The 22,090-nt window shown below is 48.3% G+C and overlaps 1 protein-coding gene across 13 annotated transcripts in view; it reads left to right on the top strand.

The window, feature by feature from the left end:
* TG (thyroglobulin) overlaps positions 1-22,090 on the top strand; it is a 267,942-nt gene that overhangs the window by 18,745 nt on the left and 227,107 nt on the right. For all 13 annotated transcript variants that reach the window (NM_003235.5, XM_017013794.2, XM_006716622.4 and 10 more), the window contains 9 exons: positions 746-1,846; positions 2,282-2,866; positions 7,988-8,227; positions 11,947-12,084; positions 12,467-12,544; positions 13,096-13,208; positions 14,535-14,637; positions 15,651-15,851; positions 20,986-21,198. In NM_003235.5, coding sequence (NP_003226.4) covers positions 746-1,846; positions 2,282-2,866; positions 7,988-8,227; positions 11,947-12,084; positions 12,467-12,544; positions 13,096-13,208; positions 14,535-14,637; positions 15,651-15,851; positions 20,986-21,198 — 2,772 coding nt within the window. The remainder of the gene's footprint in view (positions 1-745; positions 1,847-2,281; positions 2,867-7,987; positions 8,228-11,946; positions 12,085-12,466; positions 12,545-13,095; positions 13,209-14,534; positions 14,638-15,650; positions 15,852-20,985; positions 21,199-22,090) is intronic.

The following is a 22,090-nucleotide window of genomic DNA, read 5'->3' on the forward strand; positions in this document are numbered from 1 at the left end:
AAGTCACCACAAACCAGGTGGTTTAAAACAACAGAAATTTATTCCCTCCTAGTTCTGGAGGCCAGAAGTCTGAAATCAAGGTGTGGGCAGGGCCATGCTCTCCCTGAAGGTTCTATGGCAGAATTCTTCCTTGCCCCTTCCTGGTTTCTGGTGGTTGCTGGCAATCCCTGGTGTCTTTGGCTTGTGGCTGCCTCCCTCCAATCTGTGCCTGTGTCTTCACACAGCCTTCTTCCCTGTGTGCATCTTTGTTTATTTACATGACCTTCTTATAAGGACATCAGTCATTGGATTTAGAGCCCACCCTAATCCAGTATGACATCATCTTAACTTGGTGACATCTGCAAAGACCCTATTTCTAGACCACATTCTGAGGTTCCCTGTAGACATGAACATCATGTCTGTGTGTGGTGGGGGACACTATTCACCTGAGTACCATTGGCAAGTGAGGTCAGGTTTTCAGAAAGTGAGCCAGTATTTTCAAGACTTGCCTTAGAAGGGATGAACCTCTAGTGAGAGCTGGTGGAGTGGTCATGCCAACTGGAAAAGTCACACTTCCAAAATGGCCCCACAAAGGCAGCTCAGGGGAAAGGAAAAAATAAAATGACACAGAGAAGAAAGTGGTTTCAAACGTAGGTGTCCTTGATTGAATGTTCTGGCTTCTTACTACCTAAAGGATCTGAGGAGCTGTCTCAGGATTGCTTGTGACATTAAAACCTTTTCTCCCATTTCACTTTGTCTCATGCAGCTGAAGGCCAATCTTGTGCCTCCGAAAGGCAGCAGGCCTTGTCCAGACTCTACTTTGGGACCTCAGGCTACTTCAGCCAGCACGACCTGTTCTCTTCCCCAGAGAAAAGATGGGCCTCTCCAAGAGTAGCCAGATTTGCCACATCCTGCCCACCCACGATCAAGGAGCTCTTTGTGGACTCTGGGCTTCTCCGCCCAATGGTGGAGGGACAGAGCCAACAGTTTTCTGTCTCAGAAAATCTTCTCAAAGAAGCCATCCGAGCAATTTTTCCCTCCCGAGGGCTGGCTCGTCTTGCCCTTCAGTTTACCACCAACCCAAAGAGACTCCAGCAAAACCTTTTTGGAGGGAAATTTTTGGTGAATGTTGGCCAGTTTAACTTGTCTGGAGCCCTTGGCACAAGAGGCACATTTAACTTCAGTCAATTTTTCCAGCAACTTGGTCTTGCAAGCTTCTTGAATGGAGGGAGACAAGAAGATTTGGCCAAGCCACTCTCTGTGGGATTAGATTCAAATTCTTCCACAGGAACCCCTGAAGCTGCTAAGAAGGATGGTACTATGAATAAGCCAACTGTGGGCAGCTTTGGCTTTGAAATTAACCTACAAGAGAACCAAAATGCCCTCAAATTCCTTGCTTCTCTCCTGGAGCTTCCAGAATTCCTTCTCTTCTTGCAACATGCTATCTCTGTGCCAGAAGATGTGGCAAGAGATTTAGGTGATGTGATGGAAACGGTACTCAGCTCCCAGACCTGTGAGCAGACACCTGAAAGGCTATTTGTCCCATCATGCACGACAGAAGGAAGCTATGAGGATGTCCAATGCTTTTCCGGAGAGTGCTGGTGTGTGAATTCCTGGGGCAAAGAGCTTCCAGGCTCAAGAGTCAGAGGTGGACAGCCAAGGTGCCCCACAGACTGTGAAAAGCAAAGGGCTCGCATGCAAAGCCTCATGGGCAGCCAGCCTGCTGGCTCCACCTTGTTTGTCCCTGCTTGTACTAGTGAGGGACATTTCCTGCCTGTCCAGTGCTTCAACTCAGAGTGCTACTGTGTTGATGCTGAGGGTCAGGCCATTCCTGGAACTCGAAGTGCAATAGGGAAGCCCAAGAAATGTAAGTCTGTTGGGTATTCAATCTGTAGGTTCCCTGAGTCTCTCTTTAGGCCCTGACCCAATGCAGTACAGTAATAGAAATCCACTCCTGGCCAATGCTTACACTTCAGTTAAGGACAAAATTGACTGCTTATATTAAAAATTATCCAGGAATGCCTAGATAATGTTAATCAGACCTAGGAGTAAATGGGGAGATTTGTCTGGCCTTAAAGAACTGCCACATTTCTGCAGTGCTGATCACCAACTGATGTCAATGGTGCTGATTTAGTCATGGGGCAATGCCTATCTAGATATTATTTACAAATTTAAGCTTCATGGTATTTCTATGGCTATATAAGGTTTTAGACGGAGTTTGGACAGTTAAGTGGTTTTATCTTGGTCTTTCCAGTTTGTTAAATTTCTTAAACTGAAACACCTGCTCATTGTTCCTCCCCAGGCCCCACGCCCTGTCAATTACAGTCTGAGCAAGCTTTCCTCAGGACGGTGCAGGCCCTGCTCTCTAACTCCAGCATGCTACCCACCCTTTCCGACACCTACATCCCACAGTGCAGCACCGATGGGCAGTGGAGACAAGTGCAATGCAATGGGCCTCCTGAGCAGGTCTTCGAGTTGTACCAACGATGGGAGGCTCAGAACAAGGGCCAGGATCTGACGCCTGCCAAGCTGCTAGTGAAGATCATGAGCTACAGAGAAGCAGCTTCCGGAAACTTCAGTCTCTTTATTCAAAGTCTGTATGAGGCTGGCCAGCAAGATGTCTTCCCGGTGCTGTCACAATACCCTTCTCTGCAAGATGTCCCACTAGCAGCACTGGAAGGGAAACGGCCCCAGCCCAGGGAGAATATCCTCCTGGAGCCCTACCTCTTCTGGCAGATCTTAAATGGCCAACTCAGCCAATACCCGGGGTCCTACTCAGACTTCAGCACTCCTTTGGCACATTTTGATCTTCGGAACTGCTGGTGTGTGGATGAGGCTGGCCAAGAACTGGAAGGAATGCGGTCTGAGCCAAGCAAGCTCCCAACATGTGAGCTAACGCATATGAAGAGTTAAATGTGTGTGTGTGTGTGTGTGTGTGTGTATGTGTGTTTAACATATAAAAAAGGATGTCTAGTGGGAGGGTATTGAGTGTCAAAGCTGGAATGGAGTTTAGAGATGGCTGAGAAAACGAAGGCTCACAGAGGGGAAGGGACTTCCCTGTATCAACACAGTCAGGTGTTGGCAAGATTGATAGAGTATATTTTAAAACTTTCATATAATTGATTACTTCAATCAGTGTCTTAGATTTTTACTGGATGTCTTCTGTGTGCAAGCATCTTCATCTTAGAGCTGATGAAGGCTATAAAAGTGGAGATGACCTGGCCCTCGTCCTCCTATGGTTAATGTTTAGTAATCGCTCCTATGTTAGGTGTACCTTTTAATTGACCAATGAATATTACAGTGAACCTGCTACTTGCACAGAATGCTGCTAAATATGCAGGCCTCAGGAGAGTGCCACCTGAAGTGGCTTTAATTGATTTGGAAGGATTTAACTAAGGGACTGATTGGAGAGCCGGTAATTGAGGTCTATACATTCAGCTTTGTGGCAGACTTATGGGAAAGCTATGATATACAAGCCATAAATAGAATGAAGCTGACACGAGTTTCAGTTAAAATGCCTTATCCCCCTCAGCTGTGCCAGCAGTTTGAAAGAACAACCAGACATGTTCAACACTGTTATCACCAAATCCAAATCTCTCTAACCAGCCATTGCTAATATTATAGGTGATATGACAGCTGTTCAGTAAAATCTCTCAATTCATTCTTTGCAAGTTTAACATTGTCTGGACCTTCCTGAGTAATGTTAAAATCCATTAGACTATTTTGATATTAGCCAAATTTTAGGCTTTAGCAGCAACTGGGTTTTTAAAATGTCGGGTGAAAGTACCATGTGATGAGAACGGTAATACCCTTGGCATTTTGAACAGCCCAGAGATGACAATGCAAGGATTCTCCAATCAAATGTCAAGTTCCAGCAATAGAACCCTCAAGGTTAACACATTGATCTTGGCCTGACTGTTAGATAAGAAGTCTTATTTATTTTTGTGGTATTTGTAGAATCATTCTCCATACCAGTGGTCAGGTCTCTTACATGGGGACATTCCTATAATTTTAAATTATCTAAGACTAAATTTGGTCCTATTTGTATGCAATTTTAGGAGCATGAGTTGTTGATACCAAAAGTACCTAGTAACTTTATTTTATTTTATTTTGAGACTGAGTTTCGCTCTTGTTGCCCAGGCTGGAGTGCAATGGAGCGATCTCAGCTCACTGTAACCTCCGCCTCCCAAGTTCAAGTAATTCTCCTGCCTCAGTCTCTTAAGTAACTGGGATTACAGGTGCCTGCCACCACACCCAGCTAATTTTTTTTTTGTACTTTTAGTAGAGACGGGGTTTCACCATGTTGGCCAGGCTGGTCTTGAACTCCTGACCTCAGGTGATCCACCCGCCACAGCCTCCCAAAGTGCTGGGATTACTTTAGTGACTAGTCTTACCTTAGTCTGAATGCTGGATAGAGTGTTAGAACTAGACTTAGAGTAATTGGCTTTTTTTTAATTGAGTAACAAGAGACTGGATACAAGATCATCCATTAGGGAGAAAATGTTAGAACTTCCATCTCTATTCAGTATTTCCTATCTTCCCTTCACATTTCTATTAATATTTTCATTTTTGCAATTAAATGTTTAACAGCTGAAACAGCTAAAAATCTTCATGTAGTGTATTATTTTAGTAGTATGTGTATATGCCTTATAAAGAAATACCCATTTTTGGGGGGGGTGCATATTCAAACTCTTTTGTTGATAAGGGTATGCAATTGAAAGGGTTTGATACTCAAAGTGTGGTCCAGCAGCATTGGCATTCACCTTGGGAACTCATTAAAGATTCAGTATCTCAGACCCCACCTATTGAATCAAAACCTGCATTTCTACAATATTCCCAGGGGAATTCAATGCAGCCAAAAGCTTAAGGAGGACTGGCCTGGAGGACAGAACAGTAGCTGTCTTGTACCATGGTTCTACCATCTACTGCTCTGTGACCTAAGAGAGGCTCTTTTGAGTCTTAGAGTCATCTGTAAAATCTGAGTTACAATACATAACTGCCTCAAAGGCTTGTCGGAAGAATTACTAAAAGTAATAGATGTAAAGTGCTAGACTTGGCACACAGGAAGTACTTAATAAGTGATGGCTGGATTAATACAATTGATAGTGAGTAACGAAGGGACCAATAACTTCCTACATGCATCACCCACACGGGTGATGGCTCAGGCCTCTAGGAGTTTGAGTCTGCATTGCTATCTCTGGCCTGTTTGAAATTTTGCTTGCTTTATTTAATATGTGTTTATGAACTGCCTACTGTGTGCACTGTACTGTATGATGGGAAGACAGTCAGGTGAAGGATGGTGTCTGCTCTGAGAAGCTCAGAGACCAGTGGGGAAACCAAGGATGTTATCAGGAAAGTAATAAATGGCAATGGTGGAACAGAGGTATGTACGTGGAAAATGCGGTGGAGGGCGCTCAGAGAAAGGGGCTACTAACTCATTGAAGATTGGGGTAAAGATTAGCTTGACCCCAACTACTGGGATGATTCTTGAGAGGAGTTTGTCCAGTTGCAGATGTGGCAGGCCCTTTGGGACAGAGGAAATAGCATGCACTGAGTCAATGAAGCTGTGAGTGAGGTGGAGGAAAGGTTATAGACGTAGGAGGGGAGGGGATGCAGGAGGGAATGAAAGAAGAAGAGGCGGATAGTAAATTGGGAACAGATTATAATTTTTTTGAGACAGTCTTGCTCTGTTGCCTATGTTGGAGTGCAGTGGCATGATCTCAGTTCACTGCAGCCTCAACCTCGCAGGCTCAAGCGATCCTCCCACCTCAGCTTCTCAAGTAGCTGGGACTACAAGCATGCACCATCACGCCCAGCTAATTTTTGCATTTCTTGTAGAGACGGGGTTTTACCACATTGTCCAGGCTGGTCTTGAACTCCTGGGCTCAAGTGATCTGTCTGCCTTGGCCTCCCAAAGTGCTAGGATTACAGGCATGAACCACTGCATCCAGCTGGGGACAGATTTGAAAAGATCTTATGTGCCCAGTTGTAGATTTTCACTTTATCCTGGAAGAAATGTAGAGCAAGCTGAGGTTTTTAAATGTGAGTTTTTGCTTCGGACATTCAAAATCCCTGGGATTAATAGAATAAATTATTTGATAATATCCTTTTGAACAAAAAAACAATAACTTCAAATTCTGGAAGTCAAAGTTTTCTGTTGATCCCATGCTCTCAAAAGAATCCAATGACACCCCCACTGTTGAATTCACAATGTGATGTTTGAAGTAAATTTGGCGAGGGTGGATTTTGCTAAGTGACACTGCCAAGGACAGCATGTGCCAGATGCTGTGCCAAGCACTTCAACTGCAACACTTAAAAGGCTTATTACAAAACCCCATGGACTAGATGCCCCAATTTTTCCCATTGCACAGATCAGGAGGCTGAAGCTCGGAGAAGTTAAGTGCATTATCCCTGGTCGCACAACTAATAAATGACCCAAAAATTGAACACAAAGGTCTTTGAGTGCCACAGTCTTTCCTCTTCACAGGAATAACTCTCTGCTAACTTACAGTGCCTCCCTTCAACTTTTGATATCCATCCATCCATCCAACCATCTATCCATGCATCCATCCATCCATCATCTGCCTATCCTTCATTAGAGACAGCTAGTCAAGATCACTATTCCCAGAGTGAGACTGTCTAGATTGAAATTCTGAATCAGCTGCTTGCTAGCTGGGAACTCGTTTAAATTATATGACTTCTCCATGCCTCAGTTTCTCATCTGTAGCATGAGAATAAGAATATTTTATTGGGCTGTTGCATCAATTAGATTGTCTGCGTAGATGTGCTCAGGATGATGCCCAGCATGGAGCGAGTATGAGCTATTACTCATCTTATGCAGTGGTTCCTCCACAAATGGTGACTGAATGGGAGTGTGGAGGCAAAACAAGGAACATTCCAGGTTGTGGAAAGAGCTGCTGCGAAGAAAACAGCTGAGGCAAAAATGTGCTCACGTGTGGGTGTGTATTGTGTAGTGTGTGTATGTGTGTGCTGTGGTGGGTGTTTATGTATGTGTGTGTGGTGTGTGTTTATGGGGTTTGTGTATTTCTATATGGGTGTATGGTGTGTGCACTTATGTGTGTGGTATGTGCATAGGTGTGTGTGTATGTGTATGAGTGTGGTGTGTGTGTTTATGTGTGTGGTGTGTGTGTATGTGTGTGGTGTGGTGTATGTGTGTGTGGTATGCGTGTGTGCATGTGTGTGTGGTATGCCTGTGTGCATGTGTGTGTGGTGTGGTGTGTGTGTACTGTGTGTGATGTGTGTATGCATGTGTGTGTACTGTGTGGTGTGTATGTGTGTGGTTGTGTGTATGGTGTGTATGTGGGTGGTGTGTGTGTGTGTGGTATGTGTGTATGGTATGTGATGTGTCTTGAGTGGTGTGTGTATGTGTGTGGGTGGTGTATGTGTGTGGTGTTCATGTATGTGTGTGGTATATGTGTGGAGGGTGTGTGTGTGGTGTGTATTTGTGTGTATGTGTGGTGAGTGTGGTGTGTGTGTGGTGTGTATGTGAGTGTGTGTGGTGTGTATGTGTGTGTGGTGTGTATATGTGGTGTGTGTGTATGTGTGTGGTGTGTATGTGTGTGGTGTCTGCGGGGGTGGTGTGTGTGTATGTGTACGTGTGGTGTATGTGATCTGTATGTGCATACTGTGTGTATGGTGTGTATAGGTGTGTGTGGTGTGTCTGTGGTGTATATGTGTGTAGTGTGGGGGGGTGGTGTGTATGTGTGTGGTGTGGTGTGTGTATGTGTGTGGTGTGTGGTGTGTATGTGTGTAGTATGGGGGGTGGTGTGTATGTGTGTGGTGTGGTGTGTGTGTGGTGTGTATCAGTGTGTGTGAGGGGGTGGTGTGTATGTGTGTGGTGTAGGGGGGTGGTGTGTATGTGTGTGGTGTGTGTGTGTGGTGTGTGTGTGGTGTGTATGTGTGTGCGTGAGGGCACACATGCTTCATGGGAGTCAGAGGGAAGTCCACGTGGTGAGTGAGTCCATCTGTGTTATTTTTATTCCCCTAGGTCCTGGCTCCTGTGAGGAAGCAAAGCTCCGTGTACTGCAGTTCATTAGGGAAACGGAAGAGATTGTTTCAGCTTCCAACAGTTCTCGGTTCCCTCTGGGGGAGAGTTTCCTGGTGGCCAAGGGAATCCGGCTGAGGAATGAGGACCTCGGCCTTCCTCCGCTCTTCCCGCCCCGGGAGGCTTTCGCGGAGCAGTTTCTGCGTGGGAGTGATTACGCCATTCGCCTGGCGGCTCAGTCTAGTGAGTGTGGTGCCCTTCAGCTTTCTTACTGCATCGCTTTGGAAAAGCAGGAGCTTAAATTCGTCTCTCCTCAGTCATCCTTAGGACTTTGTGGTTTGGCTTCCCCAGACTGATGGGTTCTTGGGAAGGAAAAGGCAAAGTGGTTTGGGGGCACCAGTCAAAGCTGGAATGCTGCACGCATCTCTAAAATGCTCCTTAATTCTCCAGCGAATCTACCCTAGGGCAGGTTTCAGATGGCACCTGCCGCTCCCACAAAGCCAATATTCTTGTTAAAATGCGAGGGACCCAAGCCCGTGAATGCTCAAACACCCCTTACGGCCTGCTCCAAAGCTTCCCTCCATTTCCAGGGATTCAGGAACACCACACAGCAGGAGGGGAGAGGAAGCCTCGATATTAAGTAACTATGACACATTGATCTCATCTGATCCTGAGAGTAACTCCAAAAAGCAGGAATTACTACCTGCATGCGACAGAGGCATAAGCTCAGGGAGCCTGCAGTCCTCTGGTCTATAATAACAGCTGAACAGTATGCTTTTTTTTTTTTTTTGAGACGGAGTCTTGCTCTGTCACCCAGGCTGGGGTGCAGTGGCACAATCATAGCTCACCACAGCCTCGAACTCCTGGGCTCAAGCAATCCTCCCACCTCAGCCACCTGAGTAGCTGGGACTACAGGTGTGTGCCACCACATGCAGCTAATATTTGCACATTTTTAGTAGAAACAGGATTTCACCATGTTGGCCAGGCTGGTCTCGAACCCGTGACTTCAAGTGATCTGTCTGCCTCGGCCTCCCAAAGTGCCAGGATTACAGGCATGAGTCACAGCCCTTAACCAGCTAAACAATATTCTAACTTCACCTTTGAGCAGGCACTTACTGTGCTAAGTAGATTATCAGATCTTCACATTTAATCCTCTGACAGCTCCAGGAGAATGATGGTATAATCACCATCCACAATTCTTTGCAAATGGGGAAATGGAGTCTGAGGTTAAGTCACTTGCCCGAATTCACACAAGTGATAACCAGTGGGCCTGGATGGGAAGCCCAGAGACCTGGTCCTCCAGTTCATCTCTCCTGTTCCCTGCCAGGCAGATTCCAGGTATTGCTGAGGTCAGTGCCTAGCTCTGCCTCATCCTAGAGCCCTTGTTCTTCCTCCATAACCTCACAGCTGCTCTGGCAGGAGAACAGGTCCCTTCCAAGATTTCTCACTGACCCCACATCAACTTGACAAGGACAAATGATTAATCTGTCTTTGAATCTTACTCAGGATCCCCATCCCTGTCAAATGGTCTCAGCTGATTCCCTGTCTAGCTTTCTAGGCTTGAGTCACCAAACAGCAAGACAGTCCTCCCCTGACAACATCTGCTCCAAGTCAAAGAGAATCCCTCCAGCAGGAGGGCAGCTCCCTGCCTTCCCATCCACGCCAGCAGGCACTCCAGGGTGTCTATGGCCAGCGTGGGATTGGGTCTCAGTGATCTTTGTTCTCCTAATACCACGTGACAATCTCATGTGTGCCATCTTTGTTTCCTGCTTCTCTCTCACACCAGACATCTCTTTTGGAGAACAAGGCACTGTGTCTTATTCTTTCTATATCCCTGGTGCGTGGCACAGTGCCTGACACCTACAAGGAGCTGAGTAGCTGGTGGTTAACCATCCTTATTGCTTTCTTCCTCCCTTCTTTCTCTCTCTTCCGTCCACTACCCTCACCCTATGCCTAGGCACTGCTTTTCTCTGTTCCTCAGAGACTGGGAGACTTCTGCTTTTGGGAAGAACCATGTTGTTTTACATTTTTGTACAAAGACAGGATTTGAGGTAATCAAAGAGAGAAGTGGGATTGGTGCTCCTTCAGTTGTGACCACTTTGGTCAGGGAGGGAAATGTCGAGAAAGGGGAGGCAATGTTGCTGGTGCTGTTGAGATTAGTCATTGAATGGCATGTTGGCATTTTCTTCAGAAGTCGAGCTGAGAAGTTCCTCTCCAAGTAGCCACATGCTCCGCTTTGCATGTCTGAGCTTGTAGAGGAAAGAGGAAGGGACCATAGAGGACCAGGCCTGGTCTTTTCCCTGAGAGTCTGGGGATTGAGGGCCCAGAGCGAAGTGCCTTTGGCCACTAGAACATGGTAGCCATGTCTGAGGGCCTAATGAGCGTGGCGAAGGCCATGGGAGGAAATGCACACCGCTGTGTCTGGCAAGCACTTGGTGTTTAACACCTATCAGCTCCTTTGATGTAAATATCACAGTTGTCTTGTTAGGTGAGTGTTAGACCCATTCCATAGATGAGGAAACTGAAGCTCAGAGAGGTTGGGCAACTTGCTCATGATCACAGTTAGGAGGCGCAGTGCCGGGATTCAGAAGGAGGCCTGGCAGACTCCAGAACGCTGTCCACTGTATGGGGCTGCTTCAGAGGTCGGTCCTGGTGTCCCCAGATGGGCTCTGACTGTGAGTTGGTGGCATCCTTGTATCTGCAAGCTCTCTCGTCTGGAGCCATGAAGCCTGTTTCTGAAAGGTGGGGAGTGGGGAGAACTGTCCCAATGAACTGCAGGTGACTGCCAATGGTGCTGCCACAGATATTCCCGTTCTCCCTCCAGGATCCTGGTGAGGAGCCCCAACCTGCCCCAAGTGCCAGCAGGAGTGGAGAAAGAGCTCAGGCGACAGTTCATGGCCACTTAGGAGGAGGGTGGTGGTTGTGGCAAATCAGACTGGGCCTGGTAAGACCCACACCAAACTGATGTGTGTCCCACCCGCTGCCCACCCTTGCTTCTTCCTCTCCCCCTCATGCATTCATTCACGCTTTTTTCCCAATCGGTGATTTCTTGAGTGCCTACTATGAGCCAGACACTCCTCTACATGCAAAATAAACACAAATCTCTGCACCAAAGAGCTTAAATGCTAGTGCGGAGGAGACAAATCTAACACAATAAATGGGAACACTATGTACTATGTTGGTGGTGGGGAAAGCCATGTGCAAAGCCCAGTGGGTCGGGGACTGCAAGAGCTGAGGACAGATGCAGTTTCATTAGTGGGGTGGCCAGTGGTTCATCATATAACCTCCCTCGCTGAGCCTCTGTGTCCTCACCTGGGGTAAAAGTTCTGGCTTCATGGAGCTGCTGTGAAGATCTGATATGATTTTTGTGGATATCCAAGTTTCAAAGGGGTTAAAAACTAAACTGTAGGAGTTTGGTAGGGAAACCTACGAGGGCAGCTGATGTCAATCGCCCTCCTGTGTTCCAAGGCCAACCTCTCTTCTTTCTGTCTGTGAACCCTTGGTTAAGTTGCTTAATCCATCTGTGTCTCAGTTTTCTCATCCATTAAATGGGATAACATGACATTTCTTCAGATTGCTGTGAGGATTAAATTAATTAAGGTATGTATTTAGCTAGTGCCTCACACATAACATATGAGTATAGAGCCTACCTATTATTACTATTATCTCATGTGCCTGAAGACACTTCACTGACCTACTGATTTCTGTATGGAAGTTATTGTAGAGGTCTACTATAATATTCTTTCAAGCTTCAGCCTAAGTGTTATTCTTAAAGGACAATCTGTTGAGTGCCTGCCTACTGTGCAAGGAGCCTTTGTAATACTGTGGGTTGAAATGTTTGTCAAATAAATAAATAAGAAGGCCTCCTTATGTTGGAACCAGGACATACGTGGTTGTTCTCAGCTACAGAGCCCACACAGAGCAGGTGGTCATATTCTGCTTTTCTCCTTCCCTGACTCCAGCCTTAAGCTTCTATCAGAGACGCCGCTTTTCCCCGGACGACTCGGCTGGAGCATCCGCCCTTCTGCGGTCGGGCCCCTACATGCCACAGTGTGATGCGTTTGGAAGTTGGGAGCCTGTGCAGTGCCACGCTGGGACTGGTAAGGAGGGATAGGCACCTTCAGGTGGCCAAGTGACACCCCTTTTTTATTTTAGAGGACAGAGCCCCACACTGGGAGGCAAGTGAGCTGGACTCTTAGGCTCCTCTTTAGCAGCTGGTGAAAAATTCCTTAGCTTCTCGGGCCTCCAGTTATCTCACTTGTGTAACAGGAGCAGGAAACTTCTACCAGCCTGAAAGACAAGTGGGTGGTTGCTGGGGGCATCAGAGTGATTGTGGACAATGTCCGGCTGGGGGTCTAGACTGGGGACAGAAGGCGACCAGGCTTGCACTGCTATGAGTGAAGAAGGAAAGTTGTTTATGGGACACTCCAGGGTAAGTCCCTAGTGCAATTCCTGAATGTTCTCCCCTTGGCTCTTTTCCAGGGCACTGCTGGTGTGTAGATGAGAAAGGAGGGTTCATCCCTGGCTCACTGACTGCCCGCTCTCTGCAGATTCCACAGTGTAAGTGAAGACTGCAGAGTTCTCCTCCTGACCCCCCTTGGTGGGCATCACTGGTCTAGTCAGCTGTGGTTGCCTAACCGCTGGAGACTCCATGGCCCAGCCCTTCAGCCAGGTCCCGGGTGCAGCCAGACGCATTTCCCAAGTCCCCAGGCCTGCAAGCTTGCGCTGACCTTGGCACTTCCTAGTTGGAAGGCTCCCAGCTTTGCAGGTGGAAGGAAACAGCTGAGACTGTTGAAGGAGCCCTGGTTCTCCCCCTCTGTACATCTGCTGGGCAATTTCAGCCACTCCTGTAGTTTCAGCAACCGCCTCGCCTCTGAACCTGCAGCCCCAACCCCTCTTCTGAGGCTCAGCCATGTGTAATCCACAGTCCACTTGACATCTCAAAGCTGGCATGTCCCACATGAGTCTTTGTCCTCAGAGATTCTACCTCTCTATGAAGAGCACCTGCATTCACCCAGGCTCATGACCCTTAAAGGTGGGGTCAGCCTGGGATCCCCTCTTTCTCTTGGCTCCCACGACCAGTCCTTTACAAGCACCTCTCTCTCCCACAGGCCCGACAACCTGCGAGAAATCTCGAACCAGTGGGCTGCTTTCCAGTTGGAAACAGGCTAGATCCCAAGAAAACCCATCTCCAAAAGACCTGTTCGTCCCAGCCTGCCTAGAAGTAAGGGTCTGGAAGCACAGGATTGGAGCCGGGACTTGTCCCCGCTGGTCAGAGATGATTTTTCTTTTTGTTCAATACGTTCAGCTTAGTTAAAAGCTCACATGATGTTCTCAGCCTGGGTGTTTGTCTGGGCCTGCTAGAACCTGGTTCTGTGACCTTGGGCTATTTACTTACCTTTTCTGTGTCCCAGTTTGTTTTGTTTAATCATAAGATCAGGCCACATTTTGTCCTAGCTAATGCTAGGTTTGTTTTGAGACTCCAAGAAAATATCTTTCATAAGAACTCTTTGAAAAATAAACAAAACATGCTATCATGTTTTTCCTAAAGGCATCTTGGCCAAGGCCCTATGCTTACAGTGTCCCAGGTTCTCAACACACACAGAGGACACCAGCTTCTTTCCCTCCCTAGCTCCCGGGGTGATTGTAACAATTCATAATTCAGCGAAGTACTGATGTAGAGCTCCTAGAGAACGAATTTATGCCCAGAACTTAACCACTTACTTGCCAAGTGAGGGAAATCTCTGGGCTTAGTGTCCTTTTTCTAAAATAGGATGGTAGGAACACCACCACCCACTCTGCTCAGCTTCCAAAGACTTGATGAGAAGCAGATGAAACAGCAGTGTTGAAACTCATGAAACTGTACAGTACTAAGCAAAAGTTTCCTTATTATTGTTTGGTACTGTAAACATGGACCCACTTAAGCATAGTTTCATAGAGAAATTAGTCACTATTGTTTAGTTTTTTAATCTTGGCTGGAAAGCACCTACTGTTGGAATGCAATTCTGCTTCTCCTTCCTGGGCACTGATGCTTACACAGAGAGAAGGAGAGGTAGAAGCCACAATGTCCGATGGTGGGAGAAGGGATTACAGAGTGGAGCTTAGAGGCGCTCTGAGGTGTGGTTTGCAAGGCCAGTTCCTGTGGAGGACTCTAGTACTTGTCAAAATCATTTCTGGAATTAGTGAGGCTGGTCCAGGAGCATGGCTAGGCTTTGGGTCTAGATGGGTTTGGGCCTGGACCTGACCTGCCTCTCACTCACCAGCTGTGAGTTGTTGCCCCACTTTCCCTCTCTGAGAGATCTTCAGTTTCACCCACCCAAAAGCGGGAGAACTGTGGTCCATGCCTCATGAGGCTGTTGTAGCCGTCAATCAAATGATGCACGTAAAGGGCTGGGAACAGGAGAGCACCTCTCCCCACCTCCACATCTCTCCGTCTGGAGAAGCCATCACCTGTTGTTTTGGAAGGGACACTTTTGACATCTGCCAGCAGCAGGTTGGCCACTAGAGCATCTTGCCCACAGTGACTGACATGACCCCGGCTTTGTCTCAGACAGGAGAGTATGCCAGGCTGCAGGCATCGGGGGCTGGCACCTGGTGTGTGGACCCTGCATCAGGAGAAGAGTTGCGGCCTGGCTCGAGCAGCAGTGCCCAGTGTGAGTAGCAGCCCCTCCTGGCATGGCTTCTCACCTCTTCTGTGGGGCACTGAGCGTGGAGTCCAAAGAGCTGGCTTCGTGTCCCAGCTCTACTGCTTCCATAGCTGTGGGGGCACAGCTGCTGACCTCACTATGCCTCAGTTTTCTCATCTATGAAATCGGGGCAATATTCCCCCATCTCTGCAGTTTCTTGGGAGAAGCAAACGTGGGAGGGAGTAGGCTGTGCTTTGTGTCTGAGAAGTGCAAACCAGCATTGATCCCCATCAAAGGGGGCCCTAGGGCTTTGGAGGGCTGGCCGGATGTGTGGCCCTGCCGTCTGGTTTCCGCAGTGAAGCCCAGGTGATGTCCCCAAAGGGCAATGTGCAGATGTCCCTCTTCTGCCTAAACACCATAAATGCTCCCATCATCTTCGGGGCCGTGCTTGAGCTCCCTGGAATGGCTCGAGGGCCCTTTGCATCTGGTGCTGGTGTGTCTTCTTCGACTTCTCTTTCTTCTCCATCAGTTGTGCTTCAGGGTGCAGTTGTGATAAATTCTGGTCAGACTTTGGAAAAAGGAAGACGCTTTCTTCCACCTGTGCCTTCACGCGTTCTGGCTGTGCCACCTGCAATATGTCCGTCTATCCCCTCCCCACCTGACAAATTCTTGCTCAGACCACACATCTGTCCCTCCAGGAAGCCTCTGCTGGCCTCTCTCTTCCTCTGTAGGCTCCTACACTGCACTATTGTTGCCTTTATTTCACAGAACTGTACCTGCTCACGTACTTGTTAACTCTCCTTTAAGACTCTAAGCTGCTTGAGGGCAGGCAGTGGAGGGGAGAGAGTACAGAGCTGAGCCAGGTCCAGTGTTTGCCTTGTTGTCATTCAACCTCCTGGTGGGGAGGCAGCCCCAGACCCCTGGAAGGCCCTGCAGGCAGGTGGGCTGAGGGTGGCCGTGGGTGGTGAGGAGGGTGATTGGGCATCTGAGCAGGGAGTGGGCACTGATTCCCCAGCCCATCTGGCTTGTCTCTGTGTCAGGCCCAAGCCTCTGCAATGTGCTCAAGAGTGGAGTCCTCTCCAGGAGAGTCAGCCCAGGCTATGTCCCAGCCTGCAGGGCAGAGGATGGGGGCTTTTCCCCAGTGCAATGTGACCAGGCCCAGGGCAGCTGCTGGTGTGTCATGGACAGCGGAGAAGAGGTGCCTGGGACGCGCGTGACCGGGGGCCAGCCCGCCTGTGAGAGTAAGTCATGACCCCCTGGGGGGACGACGAGGCCTGCATATCTGTTCTTTGATCCAGACTGGGTGAAGTACTAGAGAAGCTGGGAAGGCAGGGGTGGGAGGGGAGGCAGGAAGTGCAGGAGGGATGTAGTTGTGGTTGAGTCCCTTCGTGTGAAAACTTACATCTACTTCCTGAAGACGCTCCTGCTGGGAACTGAAGTCAGAAAGAGCCTGGGCAGGGAACCCCCAGAACTGACACCTTAAGAAGCTTGGGGGCTGTCCTGCCCGGGAGTTTTGGGTCTTATTCTCTGTGTCTTCAGATGGGGAGAAGGACCGTGGTTGCAGGATCTCAGTGTGATGGTTCCATCCTCACTGAGGCACTTCAGGAATTTGTGGAGGTGTTGACTTGTTTATTTTTATTTCAAGTTTTAAAAATTTAGTGAATGTCAAATATTGAAATGTACATCACATCAATATATAGAATATTGAACTATATTGTTAAATATTAAAATATATTATTATTGATTTTTAACCTTTTATTTCTCCAATCTCTCAAGTCACAGGACATCACAGTCATTTTAAAAGTTATGTGAGTAGGTGGGTTAGATTATCTGTGAATTTCCTTTCAGGGCAGGAAATGGAGACATTACAAAATACTTATTACCAATTGGGGTGGTGGGTCTGGCAGAGTTGCAAAATACTGTGCTAAATGATTCTGAGTTAGCCACAGTTGCCTTTCTTTTGATGTTCTTATTCTTTCCTTATTCTTATTTTCTAATCTCTAAGCAACATTTTGGAACTGCAGGGAAATTTAATTGGGTCTAGTGATACTTCTGGTTGATATTTGTAAAGAGATGGGAGGAGCCTCAGAAGCAGGGGTGGGAGGGAAGAGTCCCCCCACTCTCATTGCGGGGGTTGCTTTCCAGTTTTGTCTGTACTCCCTCCTGCCCTGAACCTGTGCTGTGTCCAAGGCTTTTACCACACACCGTTTCCCCCAAGTCCTGTTTTGCTGCCCTCTGCATGGGGCCCTGCTTCATCCGCATCTTGACTCTCTATCATCTGCTATCACTATGCAGGATACACAGTAGGTGCTCCGTGGATATGTATGCATGCAACTGCCTGCCCTGTGCTTCTGAAATAGGGAGAGAAGTGAAGGGTCCACCTTAAGTCAGATACAATCAACATCCAACTTCCAGGTCATCTAGGAGTGGTCTGCACTGAGACCCAGGACACAGACCGGTGTGGCCTCCTCCAGGAACAGGTCTGGAGCACAGCTCCTTTAGCGCTTAGGAAGACTGTATGTGGCTTGGCCATGTAGGACTCCATGATACAGTTCCCGTGTACAGATTACCTGTTCAAAGGTGCTTTTCACATCCCTTATCCCATTTTTGCCTTCCAACAATGCAGGTAAATAGATAGAGCTCTCCTATCTCCCCATTTTTCAGATGACAAAACTGAGGCTCAGAGAGGCTCATGAACATGTCCAAAGTCACACGGTTAGCAGGTGGAGCAGCCAGGATTTAACCCGGAGTCCTGCTGATGAAACCCTCTGCTGTACAGCTGTGAGGGCTTTAGGAGAAGACAGGAGGAAGGCTCCAGAAGGTCATTTATTGGCCTTATTGAATGAAGAAAGAAAAAAGATAAATATGTCCAAAGGAAGAACTTTGGCCTCCTCTCCTTATAAGGGAGCAGTTCATTGGCTGAGTTGTTTTTAAGACTGGGGAGCTAACATTTGTAAAGGCTTCATCATGGGTTTGACGGTTGGGTAGATGCTCACTTGCTCTTCTGACGCCACCGGCCTTTGGGATTGGGCTGGAAGTCTAGGAAGATTCCTAATTCTTGCCGGGCCTGGCAGGCCACTCCTGCCCCATGCAGGTGCAGATGGAATGGGCAGTGGTGGGAACAGCCAGCATTGGCCTCTTCCGATTCCACAGCAGGGCAAGGGAGTTTGGGAAAAGCTGAGAGATTTAATATAGACAGTAATTTGGAACATTGCCCAGGTTTCCTGAGAGTCTTAAAGTGACCAGGTTCCTGGTCATGTGATCAGGAACCAAGAAACACCATTCATTTAAACACAGGAGAGTGGAATAGTCCTGGGGTCCTGGAGTTGAGGCCAGAGGCTGGCCATGCTCAGTGCACCAGGAGGATGGCGTTAACATGAGACACCCAAACCTCTTTCTGCTGACTCACTGCAGACTGTGATGGAGAGGCAGGCGGCAGACAGACAGGCTTGAATGGCAGCTCCACCACTCACTTGCCAGGTGACCTTGGGCTGGTCCCCTAACCTCTCTGGATGTCAGTGTCTCAATCTGTGAAATGAGAAAGGAGAATAGTAGCTATTTGAGTCATTATTAGCACTAATTAAGACAATCTCTGTAAACTGTTGAGCACTGGAATTACTAATACACTTAATACATATTATTACTATTTTTGCCAGTATTACTTAGGGGATGGACTTGCTCAGATACCAAGTTGCCTCTCTCTGCATCCAATGTCATGTTCATGCAAAATCCTGCCTCCAGTGGGCATTAGCCTGGTAGCTCAGAGCACAACACTTCCTGGTGTTGGGCTTTGGGTGGCAAAGTTAAGCTCTCTAGGCTTCAGGGGCCTCATCTGCAGGACGTGGCTGATAACAGTCCAGCCCCACAGAGTTGTTGTGAAGATGGAGTCAACGCCTGGGAGGCCTTTGGGCAGTCCTGGCATGCAGAAGACAGGCAGTGCTCACAAACTCTTGTAAGATGGCAGGTGTGAGCGAGCAGGTCTGGCTTCTAGTCCAATCACCAACACATGTCCCCAGGCGAGCCACTTAGCTCCCTTGAGCCTCTGTTTTCTTCATCTCTAAAGTAGCAGTAAGAATCCCCGTGGTATAATTTTGGAAGGATTTCATGAAATTAAAGATGTAAAGTGTACTCTCTGGGGCTGGGCCCACTGTGGATATTCAGTTAATTTTAGTTTCTGCACTTCTTCCTTCTCTCCTTAGCCACTCCTCCCTGGCCGTGGGGGCCAGCAGGGTTGTTCCATAGCCAGGGAGTAACTTCATTTCAGTGACATGGGGAATAAGGCTGTGGGAAAACAGGTCTGCTAGGGAAGGTAGGTGCCCTGGCAAGAGAAGCGTCAGTGTCCTAGGTGATGTTTGTGGCCCCAGGAGGAAAACCCCTTTCTAGCCGAATCAGATCACTCACTGGCCCACTTCCAAAAGGCAAGGGAGGGTAAAAAAAACAAAAACAAAAACAGAAAAACCACAGGTGCAGATCATTCCTGTGGGATAAGAGGGGAAACCTGTATTCACTGAAATGGGAAGGATGCTTACACACTCATTGACACCCCACTTCTTACCTATGTACACACATGCATCTAGCACACTGGTGGAGGATGTGGATTCTGGGGCAAAGATAATGGGGTTCAAATCCTGATTTTTCTGTTTACTAGCTATCTGACCACAGAAGAGGCATTCACCCTCTGTGTGCCTCAGTATTGGCGTCTGTATAGGGATAATGGGACCTATCCCATAGGGTTGTGGGGAACATTATATGAACTGATATTAGCAAAGCTCTTAATGGTGTACCTGGCACATACTACACATCCCATAGTAGTTTTTAAATAAATACTCCTACTAGGAGGTAGGCATTATTGCCATCTTCACCATTTTATGGGTGAGGAAACTGTCACAGAGACACTAATTAATTTGCTCTAGGACCCTGAACTAGTGAATATTAGGGCCAGGATTCATAGCCTGCAGGCTGGTCCAGAGCTCATAGGTGAACTCTTGCCATCCCACTTACACTTGGGACTTGGTGAAAGACAACTCAAGGAGCCTACTGCAAATCGCAGTGCAAAATCTTCGCCAGGGACCATTGCCCTTATCACAAAAAAGACCAGGTTTGGTTCTGGAGATCAAAATAGGTCATTCTTCCTCTTTGAAGCCCCTGAATACCCTCATATTCCTTACAGATTGCAGATGTTAAGTCATATACTGGTCAAAAGACTGTGCCTGAGTCTGATAATGAACAAAATCTCTAATGGTGTGAAATTGTCACGATGAGTGTGTTTGCTCTTTAATTTACTCATTTTCCCATTTACTTAACTCATATTCATTGAGCTGTGTCTGGGGCAGCTGTGTGCCTTGGCCTGGGTGAACAGAGGAGAGGTGCCCTCTTTTTCCCTGTGGACTCAACCCAGTGGGGTGACCAGCATGCCACTGATTAGAGGTTCTAACAATTGACAAAAGGAAGGTCTGTACCTGGTGGCCTGGGAATTCAAAAAAAAGAAGACCTAAGTCTGCCTGGGAGAACCATGACAGTGGTAGAAAACAGAACGTGTTGAGTTGATATTTGAGGGTCAAAAAGGAATCTTCCAGACAGGAGCAGGCAGAAGGAAGGCTTGGAGGTGTGTTCAGGGAGTAACAGATATTCCTGGAGGCATTGGGGAGCTGGAGGAGATGAGAGTGAAGAGGAAGGCAGGCTCAGCCTGCACAGGAGGGAGTTGAGAGCTGATATTCGGCTCTGGCATAATTTCTCTGCCAGCAGTGGGGACTGAGTGGGATGTGGGAGCAGAAAGGCAGGAGGAGGTGAGGCCTAAATGCAGAAACCTGGCAAAGAGCATTTGCTGGCAGTTCAGGCAGAAAATGAAGGATGTCTAAATGAGGGAGGTGGCAGTAGGGACGAAGAGACATGGAGCAGGTGTGAATGGTGACCAAGACAGAGGAGATGAACCCTGCAGGAAGGCCACCAGGTGGCTGGCTTGGGATGGCTGGGTGGCTGGTGGTACTGATCCTTGTGCCTGGGGGACTGAGGCAGGGGTGGCAGATACTAAGTTCAGGCCTGGATGGTGGGCTTTGAGGTGAAGAGACCAGGTGGTAACTAATTGGCTTTAGAGATGAGAAGAAGCTCGAGTGCCTGAGCTGGACATCAAGCTACACGAGACATTCATGCTTAGGTGTCTGTTAAAACTGAGAGCAGATGGGCTCATCCAAGTAGAGGGCAGGGCAGAGAGAAAGGGGAGCAGGCCCAGGCCAGGCCCTGAGAGCTTGACAGGTCCAGGGAAGGGGAGAGGAGGAGGGCCCAGTGTGAGTGAGAAGGAGACACCCACAAGCAGGCATGCTCAGTCGTCCCGAGGCTGGGCAGGTGCCCACCACGGCTCCACTTTCCTTCTCCCAGGCCCGCGGTGTCCGCTGCCATTCAACGCGTCGGAGGTGGTTGGTGGAACAATCCTGTGTGAGACAATCTCGGGCCCCACAGGCTCTGCCATGCAGCAGTGCCAATTGCTGTGCCGCCAGGGCTCCTGGAGCGTGTTTCCACCAGGGCCATTGATATGTAGCCTGGAGAGCGGACGCTGGGAGTCACAGCTGCCTCAGCCCCGGGCCTGCCAACGTGAGTGGCATCAGAGCATCTATCCTGCACCCCGCTCCCTCTCAGGGCTAGGGCTGGGACCGAGATATGGAGGCGTGGCTGCTCCATTTCCCCACCCAAATGTAGCACGCTGGTGGTATGCCAGATGGCACCAAGAGATGGGAGAGAGTCCCATGGAGCATTTTCTAGAAGGAGCAGATGTCCTTCACAGACTCCTGGAGTTAGGCTTTCTTTGTCCCTTCTCTGGAACCATCTGCTCCTTGAGAGAATTGCCATTCTTCCAACTTTCTTGGGATGTCTTGGATTCAGGAAAAATACTGGGCAGGTCAGTGCTTCAACAGCTGGATAGGTGGCTCACATGCTCAGCAGCTCTGACATGCTCAGAGCTGCTCTCCCAGCCTCTGAGTGACCCTGCCCCATCAGCCTCTCCCCAAGACCACCTGGACTTCCAGGGCTAATGCCTGGCTTAGCAGGAGGCCCTGGACTCTGCTCCAGGTAGGGCATCAGTCCTGATTGCTGGAACTTGTGTAAGTTTCGGCCCCCTTTCCTAGTGCTCTGACCAGAGCTCCTTTTGCCTTGTCACACACTGAACCCACTCTGGGACCTGGCACTTGGTCCACCCGGTGCAGTGGGAAGGGCATCTGGGAGAGAGACCAAGATTCTGGGACTGTCACAAGGCTCTGGGTGGATGCCAGAGTGTCAAGGAGAGCATTTGTTGCAAAGCACTCTGGGTTATAGAGGGTCCCCATCCAGAAAATTCAAAATGTGATTTGAATAAATAATGGCCTGTCACTTTGACTATGTTGAAATCAAGACCAGGATGGTCACAACTGACCCTAGAGCAAAGGACTTTGGGGAAAAGAGGCACAAATCTTGAGCTCCTGAAGTTGAATACAGGCTGCTGTGCATGATT

The sequence above is a fragment of the Homo sapiens genome, chromosome 8 (assembly GCF_000001405.40).
Source record: "Homo sapiens chromosome 8, GRCh38.p14 Primary Assembly".
NCBI classification, from domain to species: Eukaryota; Metazoa; Chordata; class Mammalia; order Primates; family Hominidae; genus Homo; species Homo sapiens.